The sequence below is a fragment of the Homo sapiens genome, chromosome 1, assembly GCF_000001405.40.
Source record: "Homo sapiens chromosome 1, GRCh38.p14 Primary Assembly".
NCBI lineage: Eukaryota > Metazoa > Chordata > Mammalia > Primates > Hominidae > Homo > Homo sapiens.
The window spans coordinates 161,577,385-161,601,555 of NC_000001.11; the positions used below are offsets into that span (position 1 = coordinate 161,577,385).

At 44.3% G+C, this 24,171-nt stretch overlaps 1 pseudogene across 1 annotated transcript, besides 3 other annotated features; it reads left to right on the forward strand.

Annotated features, from left to right (window-relative positions):
* Window positions 758-1,700: an enhancer, noted in NCBI's record as "H3K27ac-H3K4me1 hESC enhancer chr1:161547932-161548874 (GRCh37/hg19 assembly coordinates)". NCBI's record gives its function as "activates a minimal SCP1, AML or CMV promoter by ChIP-STARR-seq in primed H9 embryonic stem cells {active_cell/tissue: H9 hESC(primed)}" and the evidence as "EXISTENCE:reporter gene assay evidence [ECO:0000049][PMID:30033119]".
* Window positions 3,955-23,836, forward strand: FCGR2C (Fc gamma receptor IIc (gene/pseudogene); annotated as a pseudogene). The gene is made up of 7 exons (NR_047648.1): window positions 3,955-4,165; window positions 11,038-11,058; window positions 12,178-12,435; window positions 13,760-14,014; window positions 14,745-14,858; window positions 18,169-18,206; window positions 22,246-23,836. The product of NR_047648.1 is annotated as an Fc gamma receptor IIc (gene/pseudogene), transcript variant 1, non-coding (transcript).
* Window positions 11,842-12,342: an enhancer, noted in NCBI's record as "H3K4me1 hESC enhancer chr1:161559016-161559516 (GRCh37/hg19 assembly coordinates)". NCBI's record gives its function as "activates a minimal SCP1, AML or CMV promoter by ChIP-STARR-seq in primed H9 embryonic stem cells {active_cell/tissue: H9 hESC(primed)}" and the evidence as "EXISTENCE:reporter gene assay evidence [ECO:0000049][PMID:30033119]".
* Window positions 15,325-15,531: a silencer, noted in NCBI's record as "fragment chr1:161562499-161562705 (GRCh37/hg19 assembly coordinates)". NCBI's record gives its function as "represses an EF-1alpha promoter that drives an FKBP-Casp9 reporter gene in an ReSE screen in K562 erythroleukemia cells {active_cell/tissue: K562}" and the evidence as "EXISTENCE:reporter gene assay evidence [ECO:0000049][PMID:32094911]".

Consider the following 24,171-nt stretch of genomic DNA (forward strand, 5'->3'; position numbering starts at 1 on the left):
AGGCCAGCCTGGCCAACATGGTGAAACCCCGTTTCTACTAAAAATACAAAATTAGCTGGGCGTGGTGGCACATGCCTGTAATCCCAGCTACTCGGGAGGCAGAGGCTGGAGAATCGCTTGAACCCAGGAGGTGGAGGTTGCAGTGAGCTGAGATCGTGCCACTGCACTCCATCCTGGGTGACAGAGCAAGACTCTGTCAAAAGAAAAAAAAAAGGATAAATAAGATATCCAAGACTGCACAGCTGATAAGAGACAAGATGAGGCTCTTGATCTGGGTCTGTCTCCAAGCATCTTCATTATGGGTTCTCATGATTTTTGAGTTATTCATACTTTTCCCCTTACCAGAATACACATTTTATATAAAATCGTCCCTTTCAAAGAATTCTCCTTTCTTTTCTTCCTTAGAGAAAAGTCTTGCTCTGTTGCCCAGGCTAGAGTGCAGTGACATGATCTCAGCTCACTGCGACTTCTGCCTCCCGGGTTCAAGCGATTCTCGTGCCTCAGCCTCCCAATTAGCTGGGACTAAAGGCATGCGCCACCACGCCCAGCTAATTTTTATTTTTTATAGAGACAGGGTTTCACCATGTTGGCCAGGCTGCTCTTGAACTCCTGACTTCAAGTGATCTGCCCACCTAGGCCTCCCACAGTGCTGGGATTACAGGTGTGAGCCACTGGGCCCCGCCCAAGAATTTTCCTTTCTGACTGACATATTTCAGTTTTAATAAATAGTGTGCCCCTCTATTTTAACCATTTTGTTTTAGAAATATCTCCTTGTATTTTGTGCTTTCCCTTTCCCAGCCGTGATGGGAAAAAGAGACTCATTTCTGTTTTGATTTAGTGTCCTTGGAAATGCCCTACCTGATTCTGTGTCTATCTCCTTTAATAAGTCATCTAAAAGATATTGTCTGGTTCTTTTGTCTCAGTCAAATGTCTAGTAGTGGTATTTGGATCCTGAGACAATTCAGGGAAGTAGCATGTGCACTGTGTAGGACTTCCTGATCATTTTTAAATCGTGGCACAGAGAAAACCACACAAGTAAAGTTATAAACAAATGAGGCTGCTTACAGCCAGGGGCAACTGGCCCTACCTGGCTATTCCTAGGCCTGAGAGCCACTCATTAGTTCTGTGTGCTGGTTACTCATACAAGGCATGTAGGTGGTCCCTGCATACTGTTTGTGAAGCTCATTTAGTGTTGTAGAAAACCTAAGTCTTTAGCGTCAGGCAGACTTGGTTTCATATTCTGACTCCACCACTTATTAACCATGTAGCTTTGGACAAATCATTTTAACTTCTCTGAATCTAAGTTCTTCATGTGCAAATGAGGGTGATAATACTTATCTTCTGGGATTGTTGAAAATTAGAAATAATGTGAGTCTAGTGCCTCCTCCATAGTAATAATGTGAAAGGAAAATAAAAACTCAGGATTCCAATACACTGTGCCAAAAGAAAAAACAAATTAAACTGAAAGCTGAGTCGTGCAAGATACTGACTTTCCGTTGGATCCTAAGCAGATAGCTACAGAGAAAAGATTAAAAATCTCCGTAGATGGCCAGGTGTGTTGGCTCATGCCTGTAATCCCAGCGCTTTGTGAGGCCAAGGTGGGTGGATCACTTGAGGTCAGGAGTTCAAGACCAGGCTGTCCAACATGGCAAAACCTCAGTTCTACTAAAAATACAAAAAAAAAAAAAAAAGAAAGAAAGAAAGAAATTAGCAGGGCGTGGTGGCAGATGCTTGTAATTCCAGCTGCTTGGGAGGAGGAAGCAGGAGAATCGCTTGAACCCGGGAGGCGGAGGTTGTAGTGAACCGAGGTCACACCTCTGCACTCCCGCCTGGGCGACAGAGTGAGACTCTGGCAAGAAAGAAAGTAAAGTAAAGTAAAGTAAAAAGAAAGAGAGACTCTGGCAAGTAAGAAAGAAAGAAAAAGAAAGAGAAAGAAAGAAAGGAACAAAGAAAGAAAGAAAGAAAGAAAGAAAGAAAGAAAGAAAGAAGGAAGGAAGGAAGGAAGGAAGGAAAAAAAGAAAGAAAGAAAGAAAGAAAGAAAGAAAGAAAGAAAGAAAGAAAGAAAGAAAGACAGAAAGAAAGAAAGAAAGAAAGGAAGAAAGAGAGAGAAAGAAAGGAAAAACTCCACAGGTTACTCGTTTCTACCTTATCTTACATGAAGTGCCAATTTACCGAGAGCAAGACAATACATAATCGACTATTCCCCTACCTGCTACTTTTCCCTTACAACACGTGGATTACCATACTCTTCCTCTTTCCCCTCCAGCCTGCTTTTCCTCTAAATATTGAAACCCTCAAATTCATCTTTGGAGAAAGTCACAGACCACATACTGTTTCTGTGATTCTGTGTTGTTTTCTTCCAGGCATGTCCTTAACCTTGGCAAAATAAACTTCTAAATTAATTGCCACCTGTCTCAGATACCCTTGGTTTTACAGTAAGAATTCACATGCTTACATAGTAACTATTAATTTTGGTTTCTTAGTGTGTTACCTATATATTGTATGCCTTTGTTTCTAATGATATTTATAAAGTATTGATGCCAGCTCATTGTTATCACATTGCCAGTTAAAAAAAAAACTAATTTTTAACCTAAAAATTAGATAAGAGCTGGAGATGGATCTGGGGGTAGAACGGGGGCAGTAGTAAAAGCACGCGTCAGAGTGGGTGGGGCTGTCGAAGGTTTCTGAAGACCACAGAGTGTGATAACAAGGTTTTACAGTGTCATTTCCTTAAGTATTAAAGTATTACAGCCTGCTTCCTGAGAAGGCATTTGGGAAAGAGTCCCCAGAAAGGGGCCCCAGGAGAGATTCCAGAGAAACTCGTGTTTTGGAGATGTTGAGGGTGAACAAATGGTAATGAGGATGATGACAGAACGCAAGAAAAGAGAACTAGCATTCACTGGACACCCACGATGTACCAAGCACTTTGCTAACCCTCATATTCTCTTTTACTTTCCAAAAACCTGTAGTACTGTGGTTCTCAGCCAGGGGCAATTCATCCCCTGGGGAACACTTGCTAATATCTGGGGGCATATTTGTTTTCACAACTGGGAGTGCCACTGGCATCTAACAGGTAGAGCCCAGGAGTGCTGCGGAACATCCTACAATGCTCAGGGAAGGTCCTCACAAGAATAATTTGGCCCACAATGTCCATAGTGCTCAGGCTGAGAAACCGTGCTTAAATGGTAGGCACAATAATCTTCACTTTTACAGATTGGAACCTGACACTCTGAGAAGCCACCTGGCATTCAACCCGAAACCTAACACAGCTCCAAAGCCCATGCTCTTTCACCATGCCGTTGCAGTGAGAACAGGGATGGAAATGAGGGTGGCAAAAATGACCAAGATACAAAACCAGGGCACAGATTGGTGCTCAATAGATACTTATTGGGATATTCATTAAATAGAAGAATGAATAAGAAAAAGAATGAATGAGGGCAGGGGAATAATGAGGATGAGTGTGGTCATTCTATTGCCATCCTGACATACCTCCTTGTCCTTGTTCCACAACTCAGCAGTGAGTCTGGGATTATGACAATAGAGAAAATTAAATGATGGTAGGTGGCCTGGAGTCCCCATGCTCAATTTCAAGAAGCATCCAGATTCCAGGGCCTGGGTCTCCAAATGGAAGTAGAAGTACTAGAAGATTGCTGGTGCACGCTGTCCTGCATCACCCTTTCTCAGGAGGATAGAGACTGAAACAGGAGGTTCTGAGCTGAGTTTTGGTGACCATTTCCCTCTTTCTCCCAGAGGCCCAGGCCAGCTGTGGCCTCAGAGGAAGAAGAAGGGAGTTGTTTCCCTAGTTTCTAAAATTTCTGTGAATTTGAACATGGGCTACACCAGATTTATTCTGGGAAGCTCTGAATCTTCTAGGAGGGAAAGACTGAGAGGAAAGAGGGTGGAAAGGGAGGAGCCTGTGATAAAACAGAACATTTCTTTTTCACTTCCCCTTTCAGACTCCAGAATTTGTTTGCCCTCTAGGGTAGAATCCGCCAAGCTTTGAGAGAAGGCTGTGACTGCTGTGCTCTGGGCGCCAGCTCGCTCCAGGGAGTGATGGGAATCCTGTCATTCTTACCTGTCCTTGCCACTGAGAGTGACTGGGCTGACTGCAAGTCCCCCCAGCCTTGGGGTCATATGCTTCTGTGGACAGCTGTGCTATTCCTGGGTGAGTCAGGGCCCCCAGGAGGGAGAGAGGAACGGGAACCTCAGTTGGGGATAACCCTGGGCAAGGATGAGGGGTGGCATGGGAAGACCGTCAGGACACCCAGGGGAGGGAAGGCAGGCTGGTGAAGATGAAACCCTGATGACTCTGCTGGCTTTGGAAAGTCATCCAATGTGGCAGAGTTCAGGGTTTTTTCAGTGTCTTTCACCCAATCTTACTGAACACCCAGACTCTTGATGTTCTGTTGCTTTCCACATCAGAACCCGCTCTGAGAAAAGTCTAGTAACCTATACTTGAATGATAAATGAATGGCCAGAGTGTTTGCCTTCTTTGAAATTTATGCTTCACAAAAGACCAAATCTTAGGCAGGAGGGCCAGTGCTGCCTTGGGTAAGGGGTAGGGAGGAAGTTGTAAGATGCATTTTTGGGAGGAGGTGGCGGTGGCCATTCTCTGTGCCCCTGAAACCACTTTGTGTAGCAGAAGCCTATTGTCTTCATGTGTAAGAATATTCCCCTAGGCAGAAGCACAGGGAGATCTGGGTTATCCAGGGAAAAGGGACTCTGAGAATACAAAAACCTGGGTAAGTCTGGAGTCATCTGTTGTGGGACCAGAGAAATCATGCATGCTGCTTTTGACCACACAGACCATGATGGGGAAGTACTGCATCTGATCAGCAAGAGAGACAGGGTCTTTGGCCAAAATGGAGGGCTCTTTTCTAACCATGTTCTCAGCTGTTGGATAGGGGACGACGACTGATTTTGCTGAGTGGTTTGAAAAGCCTAGGGGAGGCCAAGTAGGGGAGACTTACTGCCAGGACTATCTCTCCAAGCTCAGTTCCTGGGGCTTCCACCCTCACATTCTAGAGGAAAGCATATTGCCACTCAGCCAAGTTGTGTGATGTGATTACTAGTGAAACGTGATCAGCTCTGGGGGCCCTCGGCTCTTGGCTGTCAATGCAGGATGATACTGGGCTACAGGAGAAAGAGGTAAGGAAGACAGAGTATTCCCCCATGAATAGGATGGAATGGATTAAAGTAGAAGAGAAAGTGAAGTGAACTACCTCATTTGTCATGTGGGGAAGTTCAGGCCTAGAGAGGTGATGTGCTTCTCTACCACCTGGGCAAGACTCCTGGGAAAGATCTTTGGTATTTTTTCCCATTTGCCTTTTACTAAGTCATCAAAGATTTACCCCATTTTTTCCATTCTTATTGGGGCTGCCACATTTACGTCTTCATCACTTGATAACTCAATTTTTATAGCACCCTCTGATGGGGTCTTGATTGATCCTGTCTCCCCTCCCCTGCATCCATGCTGCCCACCAAGGCCACGGCATCTTCAGGTCCAGCTATGGCTGTGTCAGTGCATTTAATAAATGCCTTCCGTGCTGCTCCATTGCCCACTGCAAAAACTCTAATTCTGCCCTGCACACTGTGTTCTCCATTGCACCCCACATGAATCTTCTTCTACAGCCAGGCAGTATGTACACTGCACTTTCTGTTTTTACCACCTTTGCTCCTGCTGACTCTCCAAATTCTATGTGCAGGCACTGTTCTAGGACTTGGAGACTTATCAGTGAACATGACTGACAGCCTTCCTGACCGGAAATACGAGGTCAATGAACTTATTGTGAAGCAATAAGTACACCGGGTGGGAGGATATTTGGTATTTACTACTATTTATTAACTGTGGAATGGATACATAATTGGTGACTTCTCTCTCCTTTCCTCATCTTTTCCTTTTTTTTCTCTCGCTCTTCCTCTTCTTTTTTACTCTCTCTCCCACTACACCGTCCCCCTTGCCAATCCTACATACTCAGGTTTTTAGCTACCACTTCTATGTCAATAACTCCTAAACCTATTTCTCTTGCTTGCTTCTGTCAAGTATAATTTTATATTTCCACTGCTGGTTGGACACCTCTAAAATGATTCTCCAGCTCAAAAACAAAGCATATTCAAAATGCAACTTATCATCTCCTCCTTACAAATGTTCTCTTCCTCCTAACATTTGTATTTGCGTAAGCGCAGCCACCCTTTTCCTAGTTATCCAACTTAAATCACCCCCACAGTCTATTAAATGCCAACTTCTCTCTGCCACTTAAATTTCTTCTGCATCTGTTTCCTCTTCTTCACCTCCTATTGTCAGTACAACTTTGGGCTCTCTTATCTCCCACCTAGATTCAACCAGTGAATGATTTCCAGAGCAATGGCACATCAAATTAATATGGCTACTGCTCTCTTTGAATTTATATTCTACTGAGGGATATAAACGGTAAGTAAACAAACAAGAAGGCATAAGTACAAATGGAAAAGGGCTATGAAGATGTAAACGGGGTACTGTGATAAGATTAGTTGTGGGGAAGAGAAGAGAGCAGCCCACTTTAAACAGGATGTTATGTAAAGAGTTTTCTGAGGGGGTGACATTTAAGCTGAGACTTTCAACATGGTAAGGATTCAGCCATTTGGTGATCAAGGACGCATTTCAGGGTAGAGGGATTGGCATACAGAAAATCCCCAAATTTGAAGAATGCCAGGAAGGCCAGTGTTAATGAGGCTCAATGAGTAGGTGAAAAGGGATCTGAGCTGAGGCTGGAGAAGGAAGCACGGACCCAATTTGATAGGGCTTGCAGGCCATTTCCATTTTATTTTAAGACCAAAGAAAGGCAACTGAAGGCTTGTAAGTTGGGGAGTGATATCATCTGATTTCGTTTTTTTTTTTTTTTTAAGGAACTAGCTTCTTTATGGAAAATGGATTGTAGGGTGACCATAAGAAGTGAGGGGACAAATTAAGATATGGGAAAAAGCTGATGGTGACTTAAACTGAGTAGTGTCTATAAAGGGGGTGAAGAGAAGTTAGTGGGTGCAAGATCTAAGTTGGAAGCAGGATCAACAAGACTTCCTGGTGTGGAAGGGACTGGATTTTGGGAGACAGAGAGGTTAAAAGATGGCTTGCAGGTTTCTGGCCTATGTAGCTGGGTGGATAACGAAGATACATATTGACATGGGGAAGACGGAGAGAAACAGAATGTGTCCACTTGCTATGACAACATGAAGCCATTGGTGATTTTGACAAGAAAAGTTTTAGTGGACTGCTGAGGGCCGAGTCCAAATTGCAGAGAATTAGACAGTGAATGAGAGGAGAAGAAATCAGGACAGCCTATGTAAGAAAAACAATGGAGAAATTTAGTTTTGAAAGGGATGAGACAGGCCAGGCACAGTGGCTCATGCCTGTAATCCCAACACTTGGAGAGGCCGAGGTGGGTGGATCACTTAAGGTCAGGAGTTCAAGACCAGCTTGGCCAACATGGTGAAACACCATCTCTACTAAAAATACAAAAATTAGCCGGATGTGGTGGTAATACAAAAGTTAGCCGGGCGTGGTGGTGCATGCCTGTAATCCCAGCTGCTTGGGAAGCTGAGGCAGGAGAATTGCTTGAATCTGGGAGGCGGAGGTCGTAGTGCACTGAGATGGTGCCGCTGCACTCCAGCCTGGGTGAAGCAAACAACAACAACAACAAAAACCGAGAGAAATGGGGCAGTAGCTGGAATTATATGTGGTGTCAAGGAAAAGTTTTTTTTTGTTTTTTGTTTTTAATGGAAGATACTGAAATAAATTTACCATTGATGGGAAGATCCAGCTAAGAGAGAAACTGGTGATGCAGAGGAGAAAGTGAATAACAGAAAGGGAAATCTTTGAGAGGATTAAAGGGAATGGGATCCAGAGTACTTGCTTTGAGACTGACCATAGACAGGAGGAGAGATGCTTTCTCCAGTGAAATGCGAGGAAGGAGAAGACAGGTAGAGATGCAGAAAAGACTGGTAGATTTAGTCGGGGGACGATGTGAGATCTTCTGTGTAACCTCTTTTGTTTTCTCTGTGAAATATGAGGAAAGGCATCAGCTAAAAATGAGAGAGGACTGGAGGCAGAGGGTGGGATGAGAAAGCTTGGGGAATGAGGAAAAGATGAGTGTCACTACTCAGAGTAGCAGAGCAAATTTCTTGGAAAAAAGTGCCACAATGGCAGTTCAGTGTCCTTTTAAATGCGGTGATCGCACATTTACTGCGTCAACAGTTTGCCTTCTTGTGTGGTAATTTCAATAACACGCAGCTGAGCAAGTAAAGGCATGGCGAATACAGGTGCATTTGGTAGAGATAGAGAAAGGCAACGAAGTTAAGGGGATTTGCAAGGAGGTAATTATAATGATGCCTCATTGAATTCAAGCTAGATGGGGGAGGGTGGGAGGTAAAGGCAAACATGTGCTCAAGGATAGGCAGTGGTAAGATGGATGCTTTGGGGTTCTTGATAAGGTCAAAGATTATTCTGGTGGCTGTACTTGAGCAGAGAAAGTTCATCTCCAAAGAAAGAAAGTTTACTGATGATGAGCAGTTCAGGGAATGAAGAGGCCAGTTGTTTGATGGGTTATCCACATATTCTGGATCACTACAGTCATCTCTTTTTTTTTTCTTTTTCTTTTTCTCTGACCTCATTCTTCCATCACAATTAGTTTCTTTCTTAATTAAGCTCTTTGGCATTTGCCCTGTTCCAATCTATTTGACACTGCACTTTCAGCCCCAATTTGAAAATTCTAAGTGACTTCCCACTGTATACTGAACCAAGGAGTGAACTTATAAAAAAAAACTTAAATTTATTTGAAATTCACCATGTGTCATGTAGCACACTAAATGCCTTCTCTGGATTATCTCATTTAATCCTAACAACCACCCTATGAGGTAGATACTGCTGTCATTATCTTCATTTACAAGCAAGGAAACTGAAGCAGAGAAAAGTTAAGTAATTTGTGAAAGGTCACTTAGCAGTAGCGGAGTCAGCATTTAAACTCAGTATGTGCTTTCCCCCACTGCCACACCACCTGGCACTAGGAGCCCTCCAGAGTATGACTTCTACTTTGCTTTCCTGCTTTGTCCCTCATTATTGGAAGTGCTTGAGGAGAGACCAGAAATCAAGTAGAAGTTGGGCTGCAACTTGCTGGGAATGTTGCCAAGTACTTGCTGCTCCTTCCCATGGAATACCTTTTCCCTCTCAGCCAAAATCCTATCAGTCCTGGAAGGTCCTTGATGAACCTGAAAGGTCCCATCTTCTCCATAGGATTCCCCTCCTTATGAACCCCAAACCCTCCCAAACACAGAGCCCTGGGATCTTTTCTTTCTCTGAACCTCCATAGCATTTTATCCAAATTCCTCTAATGTCATCTCTTTTACATCAGATTACACATGTGCTTATCTCCACCGTTAGATTCTTGCCTTCAGTGGAAGTAGGGACTTAACGTTCTTTTCCCTTAGGTGAACTCAGCATGCATTGCAGGGCAGTAGGAAGCCAATGCAGGTTTGTTGATTAATTTTGGATGCAAAGGAAGGAAGTGATTGGTCCAAGTGTATATTTCGAGATATTGGAGCATCGGGACCAGAATCCAGTTCTGTAAACTTTGAAGCCAACACTTTCTCCACATTGCCCCCTTTTTACCTCTTGGTTCTGATTCCATTTCCTTCCGTACTTTTGTCCCTGAAAATATACATGCACTTGGAAGCTTCTTGACTTTCTCTCAGCCCAGATGCAAGAGAAAACCTTCACCCATGGACAGATGGACACACACACACATACACACACACACACACACAGAGCTCTGATTCACCTAAGGACCCAGCTTTGCTTCTTTACCCAATAACAGCACCCACAAATCTTTATCTACCCTAGCCCACACTTTGCCTCCACTACGGAAGCTCTTTTCTTAACCCAGTGGCATCCCCCTACCCCTGCATGAAGTCACAGATCTAGTGCCCTTTTGCAGTCTCTTCCTCCTTTTATCAGATATTTCTAATAGCAAAAATCTGGAAGACCTAAATGCCAAGCAAAAGAGTTGTTAAATAAATCACAGGACAGCCAAATAGTAGGATATAGTGTAGCCATTTAAAATGACAACATGGGCGGGGAACGGTGGCTCACACCTGTAATCCCAGAATTTTGGGAGGCTGAGGTGGGTAGATCACTTGAGGTCAGGAGTTCCAGACCAGCCTGGCCAACATGGTGAAACCCCTTCTCTACTAAAAATACAAAACTTAGCTGGGTGTGGTGGCGCGGGCCTGTAATCCCAGCTCTTGGGAGGCTGAGGCAGGTGAATCACTTGAACCTAGGAGGCGGAGGTTGCAGTGAGCCAAGATCGCGTTATTGCACTCCAGCCTGGTGACAGAGTGAGACCCTGTCCCCCCACAAAATGAAATAAAATAAAATAAAATGACAACATAGAAACAGATTCATCTTCTAGAACTTGCATTGCTCAGTGAAAAATCAGGTTAAAGAACAGTTTTTAGAGTATATCCTCATTTACACTTATGTATGTCTGTATGTGAACAGCGTGTGTCTGTGTGTGATCACAGAAAGAAATCCAACAGGATGTATGCCAAGGTGATAATATTTTGCTCCTGCGTATTTTCTATTTTTCTGTAGTGATCATGGATTACCTGTGCAATTTCTACCCCCTCCCAACAAAAGAACAAATCTTGCTCTCAGGATAAACTCTGGCAAAATTATTTATACTGATGCATAAATCATATGTAAAGCCCAACAGAGACCTCTTTCCAGAGGCATATTTATTTTAATCAGTCAAGAGGGGTAAGCCAAAGGAAAATGCCACAAAACAGGTGGAAGAGGGTGTTATATACTTTTATTTCATTTTTGTATGTTACTGGGAGTTCTCAGTCCTTTTAAAAGTGCAGCTCATCCAGGCAGTCCCAGGGGATATGGCCACGAGGGCTGTGCTGTAGGTGAAGGGCGCTCTGGGCCTGGGCAGTCTCTGGGCCAAAGTGGGCAGGTGTCAGTTCAGACACTCCACTGTGGGCTGATCTTTGCTTTCTGTCTTACAGCTCCTGTTGCTGGGACACCTGGTAAGTACTCCACCCACAGCCTTTCCTTCCCTCGGGTCCCCTTTTCCTCTCCTCCCAGTGCCCTGTCTGGAGGTGCTCTAAATGCACCAGCAACTGAGCCCAGTACCAAGTCAGGGCCAGGAAAGGGTAATTGCTCCCGAAAGATCCCCTCTCCCTCTTCCACTCTCCTCCTTCCTTTTCCTCCTTCCACGGAGGCAAGTGGTAGGCAGCCACGGTGTTCAAATGGGGGAGCTGTCACAGAAAATGAGAACTCTGATCTCTCTCTCAACTGCCTTCCGCTGTCCAAATAAAACCAAGGGCTTCCTCTCTCCAAATAAAATTCAGGCACATGCAAAATCACATGGCCTGCATATGTTGTCCCCCTGTGTTGCTAAATCCTTGACTGTGCATGTTTCTGAGAGCTCCAAGGCCTGTTCCCTGACAGAGTGGTCTCTGCATACCTCTGGCTACACTTTGCCGGGCACTTCTGTGTTTGTGCCACTCAGCCTCCACCGCTCCAGGACTGGCCCTCCGGCTTTTCTCCCTCTCTCTTTATCCTTCTGAGGCCAGAGAGGCTCGTGTATGCTTGGGTGTGAGGACGGGCCATCTTGACCTCGTTTTTAAAGTATACAGAATGACATTAGGTCAGAACGGAAACCTGATATCCAACTCCCATGCCTGCCATCTCCACCAGAGCCCCCACTTATCTTCAGCCAGCCCCAGGGGAAATTTATCCACTAGTGTCCAAATGCCTTTGTTTATCGGGGAGAAAAGTTAGTCTCGAAAGAGTATGTATGTATGGGGTGTCTGTGTGTCTGTGCTGGTGGGGAGAGGTTGGTGGGGAGAGAGAGAAGGAACTGGTGAAGATATCTCAGGTAAAGTATATGTATTTCGAGGGTGTTTCTCTTGCCTGCTCCCTCCTTCTTCCCTGTTGCCCTGTCTGAGTCCTGGGTTCCCTGGGGCCCTTGTGGTGGGATGTATGAGCAAAAGCAACTGCCTTCAGTTGCAGAACCATTCTGGGCCTGGCTCAGCTTTTGGTGCCCCCAGTAGGCCTACAGGTGCTTTTTTGTCTGAGATTCAGGGCCTCTCAGGCTCTTGGGCTTCCTCTTCCTCACACTACCTCCTCTCTCTGCCCCTCAGCAGCTCCCCCAAAGGCTGTGCTGAAACTCGAGCCCTAGTGGATCAACGTGCTCCAAGAGGACTCTGTGACTCTGACATGCCGGGGGACTCACAGCCCTGAGAGCGACTCCATTCCGTGGTTCCACAATGGGAATCTCATTCCCACCCACACGCAGCCCAGCTACAGGTTCAAGGCCAACAACAATGACAGCGGGGAGTACACGTGCCAGACTGGCCAGACCAGCCTCAGCGACCCTGTGCATCTGACTGTGCTTTCTGGTCAGTGGAGGAAGGCCCCAGGGTGGACCTGGGAGGGCCAGGATGGATGAAATCTGCTTTCAGGCAGAGGTTTGCAGGAAAGGAGGGTGGCCTGCTTACTGGGAAGTATCGCTGTGAGTTGCCTCAGCACATGTCAGTGGTTGCTTTGCCTCAGTCCTGATTGAACAGAAGAAGATTACAAGGCCAAAAACAGGCAGCCAAGTGTGAGAGAAGCAGAAGGAAATCCCTACTGCATAAAATCCATTTCCATTTTAATGGCAGAATTGAAAAGCACAGACCACAACTGAATCCTAGCCCTGGAAATGACTCACTATACAACATGATGAATTCATTTAACCCTTGAGTTTCCATTTCTTCACCTGCTCCGTGGGGCACTAACGCCTCCCTCAGAGGCTTCTGGTGAGAATCAGTGTTTCCCTGCCCCCGCCCCGCCCTCCATGCCCCTTCTCCACGTTCTCACTGTGCTAGGTGCTCTTCTCTGTCTTTCTCTTCCACCAGCCTGTGGGAAACCTGAGATGAAAGTCGTGTCTTACCCATCTTTGTATTTCCAGCATCTGAAACTGGGCAGAGCTTAATAAATATTTTGCTGGAGAGGTTGATGATCTTACAAAGCTCCCATTGAAAGGTGGCTCTCTGTAAAGCAAAGTTACAATGAGATTGTGATGAACATTGTCCTTGTGGCTTTTCACTTAGTCCCCTCCCTTCACCTGAAGAGCAAATTTTCCTCAAAAGTACACAGCAAACAAATGACCCACTGGTGACACTGCTGCCTTTAGACCCTGCTGGAAAGAATCTCCACATTTATTAACATTCCCAAAGTAAATTTATCAGGTAGCATTCATCAGGTAACATTTGTTGCACATTCATGACTTTTCTACTGTCCACAAAGGCATATGTCCTTATCATATGCAGACTCCTTGGCCACACTGGATTCCTCCTTCCCTCCTCGACATGGAAGAGATGGCATCTTAGGGTCTCTTGTGTTCTTCCTGAAGAGGCCTGTCGGGCAGGAAAAGGCTGCAGCTGCCTTCCTGGGAGAAGGAGGAGATGAGTGTATCCTGAACACCTATTATGTGCTAGGGGCTATTGTAGATACATGACATTATCATGCTCATTTTCACAAATGAGGAAACTGAGGCTCAGAAGACTTAAATTATTTGCCCAAGAGTTCATAAATGATAGAGCCAGCATTAGAGTCCAGGACTGTCTGATTTCAGACCTAAGCTGTTCCCTCTGCACATCATGTCCCACCAGTAAGGAAGATCTGGGTCTCAGAGCTGAGCCAAGACCTCCCGGGTCCTCTGGGGTTTTCTGTGTCTTTCAGAGTGGCTGGTGCTCCAGACCCCTCACCTGGAGTTCCAGGAGGGAGAAACCATCGTGCTGAGGTGCCACAGCTGGAAGGACAAGCCTCTGGTCAAGGTCACATTCTTCCAGAATGGAAAATCCAAGAAATTTTCCCGTTCGGATCCCAACTTCTCCATCCCACAAGCAAACCACAGTCACAGTGGTGATTACCACTGCACAGGAAACATAGGCTACACGCTGTACTCATCCAAGCCTGTGACCATCACTGTCCAAGGTATGAGGAGTCTGCCAAGATGTAGGGAGGGGAGAAGAGGGGATGGACAAGGGCTGAGGTCACATGGGCCTACATGGAGGTCTGAGAAAGGCCACAGCACAAAATTGGGCACTGGAGCAAAGAGGAGTGGTGTGGAGGCCTGGCTAAGTATTGACCAATGAGCAGGAGTAGGGGCCAGAGCTTGGAGCCCTCAGGTGATAGGTGACCAGGCTGTTGTTCCACTTTGAAATGCAGGCCCCAGACTAAGGACGGCAGCGAAGCAGAGCTCCCTCGTTGGTGCAGAGGTTCCCTAAGCTCCTGGGCATTCGTAAGAACTGAGGTTTGCCTTTATTCTTCTCATGGCTCATGTTATAGCCATTCACTCCAGAAAGCCTGGCACGTCATGGACTGTTCAAGGCTGTGCTCCATAGAGTAATGATGCCTCCAGCTATGCGAGGCTTTGGGCCCACCCTTCCCACTGCCCCTGAGGGCTAAGGGGAGCCCTTCCTTCTGCTCCTGCCTGCTCACCAGTGTGCCTTTATTAGTTCGGTGGAGAAACCTCGGTAGGCAGGAGGCATAAGTCCAGCCACAGAAACCCTGTGCAGATGAGGCTGGGGATGTAGTGAGTGCTGCAGAAGTGAGTGACTCAGACACAGAAGAGCTTCGGGTGACAAGCACTAGGACATAGCATTGGATGGGGGGGAGGTGGGACAAGGAGAGTACTGCCTGTCCTGATGTCTGTCTTCCCTAGCTCCCAGCTCTTCACCGATGGGGATCATTGTGGCTGTGGTCACTGGGATTGCTGTAGCGGCCATTGTTGCTGCTGTAGTGGCCTTGATCTACTGCAGGAAAAAGCGGATTTCAGGTTTGTAGCTCCTCCCGGTCCCTTTGGTTATCAGTTTCCACTTGGCCCAGGCCCTAACCCCAGACATTGCCAGAATCCCTCTCTTTGGGCTAGATACACATTCAGATCTAGGCCCGTATTGTATTATAGTCATTCATTCGTTTATTAGATCATTCATTTGACAAGACTTGAACAAACTAGCTTATGTGTCAGCCAATGCGTGAGACATGGTGGGTGATGCCAAGAGAAGTCCAGTCCCTGCCCTTGGGGAGTTCTCAGCATTGTGAGGAAGACAGGGTCATTATAATAAGATGGGATAAGAGCAATGATAGGGACATGAAAAGCCTAGGATAGAAGTACAGAGGAGGCTCCATAGCCCAACAAGGGCTGACGCAGTTGGAGAAGTTCTCAGGGAGAGCAGTGTAGTGTAGTGATGGAGTGCACATAGTGGGGCCAGACTGCCTGGGTTCAAATCTAGTTCTACAGCATACCAACTATATGACCCAAGTGAGTCACTCCACCTCTCTGTGCCTCAGCTGTCTCATGTGGAAAATGGGGACACTAACAGGACTTACCTCACAGGGTTGCCATGGGGATGAAAGAGGCTGATGCTCTTACACAGTGCCTGGTAGGCAGTAACAGCACACAAACAGGGCTGTTGCCATTCTGGAGGAGGTGGTGTGTGAGGGCAGCGCTTAGCTAGGGAAGGAGGACCCTCCAGGCACTGGGCCAAGGCAGGGATTGAAGCCGGGTGGGGCTCATATGGGTGTCGAAGGGGGAGAAGAGAGGGTACTGCAAGCCACCAAGAAAGAAAGAATCCCGCTAACACCTCACAAAGCACTTTTCAATTGGTTCATAGCCAACACCTCAGTTACTGATGATAAGTAAATACAGAGAAACAGAGAGAGAGAGACTGAGACACAGGGGTGTTTTTAAAAGGCAGAGCAAGCCTCAGACAGATGCCATGGCGTGGCCTTTCTGACACTCCTGGGCATCCCCATGGGTGAGCTGAATTCTGCCTCTGGACTAGCCCTTTTCCAGGCGGGAGCGGCCCCTGAGCAGGGGAGCTGGGGGTGGGAGGACAGGAAACATCTGCCAGAGGGAAGGCCTGAGCTGGTCCCATCCAACCCTGGCCCTGGTCCTTGGTCCTGAGGACTCAGGCCCCACCGCCTAATCCTACTAACCTCCTGTGTGCCCCTCCCAGCTCTCTCAGGATACCCTGAGTGCAGGGAAATGGGAGAGACCCTCCCTGAGAAACCAGGTGAGTACAGGTTGTCTCAGGGATTCAGTGATGGCTCACCAGGGCTGCCGGCTGGACTGCAGCCAGCGAGAAGGGGCTTGTGCGAGTTCAGCTGGGAGCCAGGGAGGGAGCAGCGGTGGGAGGATGGCCGGGGCTCAAATCGCTTGGTTAGCTCTGAGTCTAACTCCTGGGCCTAAAGATGACCTCTCTGGAGATGAGAAGAGAAACACCAGTCCCAGATACAGAGGAGAGGGCTGTGTCCGAATTTCTGGTACCAGGAATCTGATGATATTTCCAGAGCAAGAAATCAGAGATACTTTGGTCTTTCTGTGGAGCTTTGGCAGAGCTGGCAGAGGATGGGGTTAGGGGCTGTAAGACTGAGGCCAATCGGACGTGGGAGGCAGGAGTCTAAGGGGAAAGGAGGAGGAGGCCTGGAAACCCCTCAATTTGCTGAGGAATCTGCCTCTGTGGAGGGATGGGGTGGAGTGGCCAGGCTCAGCTGTCTGTGGAACACTAAGAGGAGGTTTGGGCTTGAGAAAATTCTGGGGGGCTAGGGGCACTAGTGGGCTCTACTCTGTGGGCAAAGCTCGGTTCCAATGCCCATGCACTCAAGGTTGACTGAATTTTGGCCTGGTTCTGCCCCCATCACACAGTGGAGCCCTGAGCAAGTCAGTCTCCCTGATGGGGTTCAGTCTCCTCACTGAGGAAATGAGTGGGTGGCCAGGGTGACCTCTCAGGCCTTCTAGGTCTGACATTCAGGTGGGAGTGTGTAAAGGAACTTCCAGGAGGATGCCAGGTAACTTCCAGACTGTAGTTAAAGTCAGAGCATAAAGGAAACCAGAGCTTTCTCCGGGGGTTTCCATGACAGTAGGAACAGGCAGGAAAAAGGCTGTCAAAGACCCCACCTCAGATGGCTGGAGTATGATTCAGAGCAGAGCCAACAGATTTAAGAGCTTGAGCAAAATATCACTTGTTCAGCTGTGCTTGCAGCAAGGTTGCACGTCCGCTGGCCAGGCCCAGTGGTGATAGGGGCCTGTGTTCACACCAGGGCCAAAACAGATCTGGAAAATACAAAGTCCAAGCAACTGGATTATCCATCTTGTTGTGTGGTTCTGTCTGCACTGGCATAAGCACATTTCATGAGGCATTTTTGCAGCCAGGCATTGGGGCTGCATAAATGGTTTCTTAAAAATCCTTTCCCAAAAGGCAAAGCTGGTTTGCTGGAATTGTTGGGGAATGTATTAGAATGGGAATTCAGAATGTGGTTTGCTGCAGAATTTACAGCATGGCAATAAAGGCTCTCTGTGTTCAGGGGGTGAGAGAAGAGACTAGATGCATTGTGTCAGATGTCTCCCGACTTCCTGAGAAATGCCACTTTGCAAATACTGGGGCTGCTTTTCACACTGGCCAAGTCAGTTTATGACAAAAACATGAGGCAATTAGGTGTGTTTTGGACACTAACCAGAGAAAGTCCTTCCTTCCCTCCCTTCCTCCCTCCCTCCTTCCCTCCCTCTCTCCCTTCCTGCCTTCCTTCCTTCCCCCTTCCCTCCCTCCCTTTCTCCCTCCCTAAGCTCCCTCCCTGCCTCTCTTTTTCTCTCTCATGTTACTTTCTCTTTCTGTCTTCCTTTTTAATGCCATGGAGTACTATATTCTTCAAAGTTCCAACAAAGATGCACTACATTTGGACAATGTGGAAATGGCCCTCAGCCTTCTCTTCCTGATGTGGTCAGCAAAAATCTGGACTTTACTTCACTCTGATGCTGAACACCCTGCTCCACATCTTCCCCAGTATCTCAGATCCCCAAGCTGTCTGGTTTGCTTCTAGGAAAGCTCAGCAATTCCCTGAAAAGAGTGTGGCCCAAGTGACTGCTTCCCTCCACCAGTGTGGCCCGTGGGGAAGGCTGTGGCTGGGTGACCCCAAGGGTGGGTACATGAGGCCATATTTACTTAGCCCTTGGCCTTACAGGACTGTGTCAAGGGGTCAGTAGTCCTTGCTTTGAGTCTGGTTATGGTTTTGCAGCCTCAGCATCAGCGTGGGCAGGCCCTTTTCAACAGCAGTGCCCTGGCTAATCCTTTTCTTTTTCCCCACAGCCAATTCCACTGATCCTGTGAAGGCTGCCCAATTTGAGATGAGTAATCCCAGCCATCTCCTTTTCTTCCTGCCTTGTCCCTTCTCTCCTGTTTCCTCTCTTTTTGCCTTTGTTAATGCAAAATTAAAATGGAGACTGGGCCTGAAAACTCCTGAGCAAACAAAGCCACCCGGGCCTTAGAAATAGCCTTATCATTGCTTAAACTGCAAACATAAGTGAAACTCAAGTTGGATTGTAACTAAAAATAGGTAATACTTAACTTGGATCATTTCTGGTAAATATTTATGTTAGACAGAAATAAGATTTAACCCTAGCCAATCGTAAGCAGCCAACTAACATAATTATGTGACTAAGAACACTTCAATAAGGTACCTCACCCAAAAGACAATTATGTAACTGCAAACCTATCAAATTTCTTTATTTTACTTCCACATTTTCCCAATTAATACCTGTCTCTGACTTTCTGTCATTAAAACATTAGACCTCTTTTGGTTTGGTGTCACCCAATTCATGAATTGCTTCTTACTCAAATGAACTCTTTAAAATTGTATTGTGCCTTAGATTTTTCTTTAACAGTTTGGTGTCAGAAGTAGGATATAAAGTAGAATCTCCCCCAAAGATCCCTAAGAGCAATGGGTGACCAGGCATAGGTACCCATTAAGCCCATTGTGTTCACTGGTTTCTTCCTGCATTTGTGAGTCACTAGGTAAGTCCCTCTCAGATATCAGGCTTGCAACTTGTGTCCTGAGCTCTCTGAGTTTATTTGAGTAATTTTATTTCTCATTTGATTCAGCGGTTAATCTGGGTATTTGACAAGTTCATCTGTTTCCAACAGGAACTATACTAGGTCCAGTATAGTGTACTAGTTTCCAGACAAGGTCTGATTTCTGGATTGGGATCCAGAGGTCAAATTGGGTACTTGACAGATTGAACTAGGTGTTCAACAGAAACTGAACTGGGGGTCCAGTTGCAGTCCTCAGGTAGGTAAATTTCAGAAGGGCAAGATATTATGGCTTTGTCAGAATGTACAGAGTCTGGGACTCCTCCATCTGAAACACAGTGATTTCTATGTTCAGATAATATGGGCCCAGAACCTGTGACTTTCTAGAGAAATAGGTGTGCCTTACCTATTGAGCCTTACCAGAGATGACTTAAAGTTGCAATGGTCACAGTGAGGATATTTAAATCTAGAAAAAATTGTTCATTTAAGGGATGTATTGGGAAAAAATGAGATCCCAAATGTCTCAGAAACAATGATAAATAATTTTGATTGGTATGTAAAGGTTTCTAAAAGAATGATTTAAAAAAATAGTCTCTCTAAGTAAATCTTTACAATGTGCTAATAAGAAAGTATTCTAAACCTATTAACCTCTTTGATTGCTTGCTTTTTCCATCTGAACCTACTCAATGCTAACCTCCTTAAAAAATTAGATCCTCAAATGAGCCAGGAGTATCTACAACAACTAAATTTAACTCTTGTTATTGCACACATGAACTATTATAAAAGCAACCACTAAGGCTAAAAATAATAAAAACTAACTGGAAATAGGCCAGATAAACTAGATGTCTCCTTAGTCACTCATTTAAAATTTAATCCAGTCTCAATAAGATTGACTCCTAATAATAGGTGAAAATGCCCCAAAACTCCTTCTTGGAGAAGCTTCGTACCCTTTCTCCGGGCCTTTGAATTGTGTAAATGTTTTTAAAACACAAGCTTCAGCGAAATGACTCATCAAAAAGAAAGAAGGAGGAATTTTTTAGAAACAAACTGGCAAATGAAAAATCTTAATAGTCCTCTCCACAAATATCAATAAAAAGTGTCAGCCATCTGAACAGCTAACTTTAACTAGAGGCTAGATCCAACTAATTAGTTTTATATTATTATACCTGGCACATGGCTAAAATTTCAGAACAAAAGCCATGAATTTCTGTTTGCATCTTTCTGTATGTTTACATATATCTACACATGTGTATGCTATTTGTACATATTATTCTATCTCCAGATGGTATTTATTAGAAACAGTATTAAAGGAGCTCAACTGGCCTAGAGAAAAATAAGCACTTATATAAATTACATATTTTCTCAGAAGAAAAGAACTTTGCCAAAATGCTTTTCAACTTCATATGACCTGAGTAATCTTTTATAAATAAGAATATTGGCATTAATGAAAGTGAATATTCTACCTAGTTTTACCCAAATAAGCTCATGTTGTCTGCTATACAATTTGTCAAAAAAATACCTTGAGATGACAGGTAGTTGGTTTTGTTAATATTATGTTTGCCACTTTAACTATGTTAAATGAAATGACAGGTATTCATTAAATATCTACACCATTTCCAGATAAGACAAACTACTAAAACAAAAATAAAAAAGTGTTCCACTTATCTTTTTCTCTCTACCTGATTGTTTCAGAATTTGGAAACTCTTATTAAGTATTTTTATTTTCAATCTGGGTGTTTGCATAGGTTCAATAAGAATCTATTCTCCTTATGACAGGACATAATTGGGCAAGTCCTTGGCTTGGCTTCTTAGCCTAGAGAGGCTTTTAAAGGTCTAATCTGAGATTTCTCAATTACTAGATAGTTTTTAAAAACTAAAGTTGACTGATAACAAAGTCAGTAAAGTCTCTTGGATATCACCAAAGCTGTGGCTAAAATATATTTTAAAATTACTGTTTTTATTATACCTATATAAATAATCAGGTCAAAATTAATGAAACTAGATTTATTTTTGCAAAAAAGTCAACTTTGATTTTTGGTAAAAATGGAAAATAAAAATATTTTTCTCCAGAATAAAAAAGATTATATTTTAGTAGAAAACTATTGTGCATCCATTGTCAAATTCTAGGCCTGTTCATTTTCTTTGAAGTTTTATTATCTCCCTATAAACCAGATTGACTCCTGAATTTTTGTTTTTTAGTTCCACTAGAAACTAAAACTGCCCTTTTCCAAAGCTCTGCAAACTGAAACTGGTGACTTTAAGCTTCAGAAAAATCACTGCAACAGAGCACTTATGCCTTAATGCCAATCTTAATGCCTGCTGCTATCTGGGTCACTCAGAGAGTTTACCAGAATGTTTAATGAAATAACCAGAGACATTCAAATTGCAAACCAGTAAAGCACATCACATTGCAACTGCTATCTTCAGTCTACCATTTAAACTTGCCTCAAACTCACCTCTAGAAATTGTTTCACCTAGCTGCCCTCTAAACTCAAAAACTAAGATCATAATTTGCTCCAAATATTAACTTTGTTTTTTTAATAGAAGAATACTCTGAATTCCTTTCAAGCAATACAATCTAAAATGAGCAAGTTAGCCTCAATAGCACCCCAAAATAGAAGTTCTTGGTATCTTAACAGCTTAACAAGGAGGAGCTTGTGTTCCTACTGATGTCAAAAGAAATGCTTAAAGATCTCAGTTGGCTTTATGGTGATTCTAGAACTGGGCAATACTTGCCACCTTAAATTAGAATAAGGTTTCCAATGAGTTACAGCAGAGGAGATTGGCTTCATAGACAGAAAAAGGTCTGAAGAAAGCAGAAACAAAGAATTTAAAGTGGATTGGCTATTTTAAAGCTGGTTAAAGTTGCAAAAGACAGGAATAGGGAAACAGAATAATAAATAACTGGTTGGTTAACATCAGGTTACTCTTTTGTAAGGATGCCAATTGAAACTGGCCTGTTTGGAAAATTAGATTTTTAGGTTATTAGGTTATTATCTCTCTCTCCTGATTTTTCCAAAGGCCAGATAAGAATGTAGTTTCTGTTTGGTGACTTGAAACTTTATCGTGGGTGATTCCATTTTGAATTTTAGTCTGTTCTGTTTGGGCCTAGTGCAGGAGCTTAGTGCAAAACAATAGCCTCCTAAAATTTAAAAGACTTTAAAGAACATACATGAGTTTTTCATCAGATAATATTTATTTGTATTCATTAATTTATTTGATTGGTTAAGTCTTGGCTCCCGAGAATCTTTGCTCAGAGGAATTTTTCAATCCTTGGCTATTATTCTCCTTATAGTTATTGTATTTACCTCCCCGGTGTATTGAATTATCCTATGGGTTTTAAATGCTTTCCTGCACCCACCTGGACGTCAAATGATTGCCATCAGAAAGAGACAACCTGAAGAAACCAACAATGACTATGAAACAGCTGACGGCGGCTACATGACTCTGAACCCCAGGGCACCTACTGACGATGATAAAAACATCTACCTGACTCTTCCTCCCAACGACCATGTCAACAGTAATAACTAAAGAGTAACGTTATGCCATGTGGTCACACTCTCAGCTTGCTGAGTGGATGACAAAAAGAGGGGAATTGTTAAAGGAAAATTTAAATGGAGACTGGAAAAATTCCTGAGCAAACAAAACCACCTGGCCCTTAGAAATAGCTTTAACTTTGCTTAAACTACAAACACAAGCAAAACTTCACGGGGTCATACTACATACAAGCATAAGCAAAACTTAACTTGGATGATTTCTGGTAAATGCTTATGTTAGAAATAAGACAACCCCAGCCAATCACAAGCAGCCTACTAACATATAATTAGGTGACTAGGGACTTTCTAAGAAGATACCTACCCCCAAAAAACAATTATGTAATTGAAAACCCATCGATTGCCTTTATTTTGCTTCCACATTTTCCCAATAAATACTTGCCTGTGACATTTTGCCACTGGAACACTAAACTTCATGAATTGCGCCTCAGATTTTTCCTTTAACATCTTTTTTTTTTGACAGTCTCAATCTGTTACCCAGGCTGGAGTGTAGTGGTGCTATCTTGGCTCACTGCAAACCCGCCTCCCAGGTTTAAGCGATTCTCATGCCTCAGCCTCCCAGTAGCTGGGATTACAGGCATGTGCCGTCATAACCAGCTAATTTTTGTATTTTTTATTTTTTTTTTTAGTAGAGACGGGGTTTCGCAATGTTGGCCAGGCCGATCTCGAACTTCTGGCCTCTAGCGATCTGCCCGCCTCGGCCTCCCAAAGTGCTGGGATGACCAGCATCAGCCCCAATGCCCAGCCTCTTTAACATCTTCTTTCCTATGCCCTCTCTGTGGATCCCTACTGCTGGTTTCTGCCTTCTCCATGCTGAGAACAAAATCACCTATTCACTGCTTATGCAGTCGGAAGCTCCAGAAGAACAAAGAGCCCAATTACCAGAACCACATTAAGTCTCCATTGTTTTGCCTTGGGATTTGAGAAGAGAATTAGAGAGGTGAGGATCTGGTATTTCCTGGTCTAAATTCCCCTTGAGGAAGACGAAGGGATGCTGCAGTTCCAAAAGAGAAGGACTCTTCCAGAGTCATCTACCTGAGTCCCGATGCTCCCTGTCCTGAAAACCACAGACAATATGGTCCCAAATGACTGACTGCACCTTCTGTGCCTCAGCCATTCTTGACATCAAGAATCTTCTGTTCCACATCCACACAGCCAATACAATTAATCAAACCACTGTTATGAAAAGATGTAGCAACATGAGAAATGCTTATGTTACAGGTTACATGAGAACAATCATGTAAGTCTATATGACTTCAGAAATGTTAAAATAGACTAACCTCTAACAACAAATTAAAAGTGATTGTTTCAAGGTGATGCAATTATTGATGACCTATTTTATTTTTCTATAATGATCATATATTACCTTTGTAATAAAACATTATAACCAAAACATTCTGTTTACCTTTTCAGGGCTGTATTGATTGGGGTGTAGACTGAACTATCCGGGGTCTGTTTCTTTTCGGTGATGAAAGTCTTGAGAAGGTAGTAATGGATAAGATGTGAAGGAGAGGAGAGATGGAGATTTGGAGTGTAGGGTGAGTGCCCCTCTTCTTAAAACTGAATACTCTTCTTCTAATGAACTTGTATTCTTGTTTCCATGTCTTCTTGCCTTTCCTTCTATGGCAAATAAAACACTCACTTTGTTTTGGAACACAAGTTCTCAGAAAGGCAAACTTTAGGTGAATCGTCAGTGGAGACTGCTGACTTCCTGCACTGCTATTTTCCC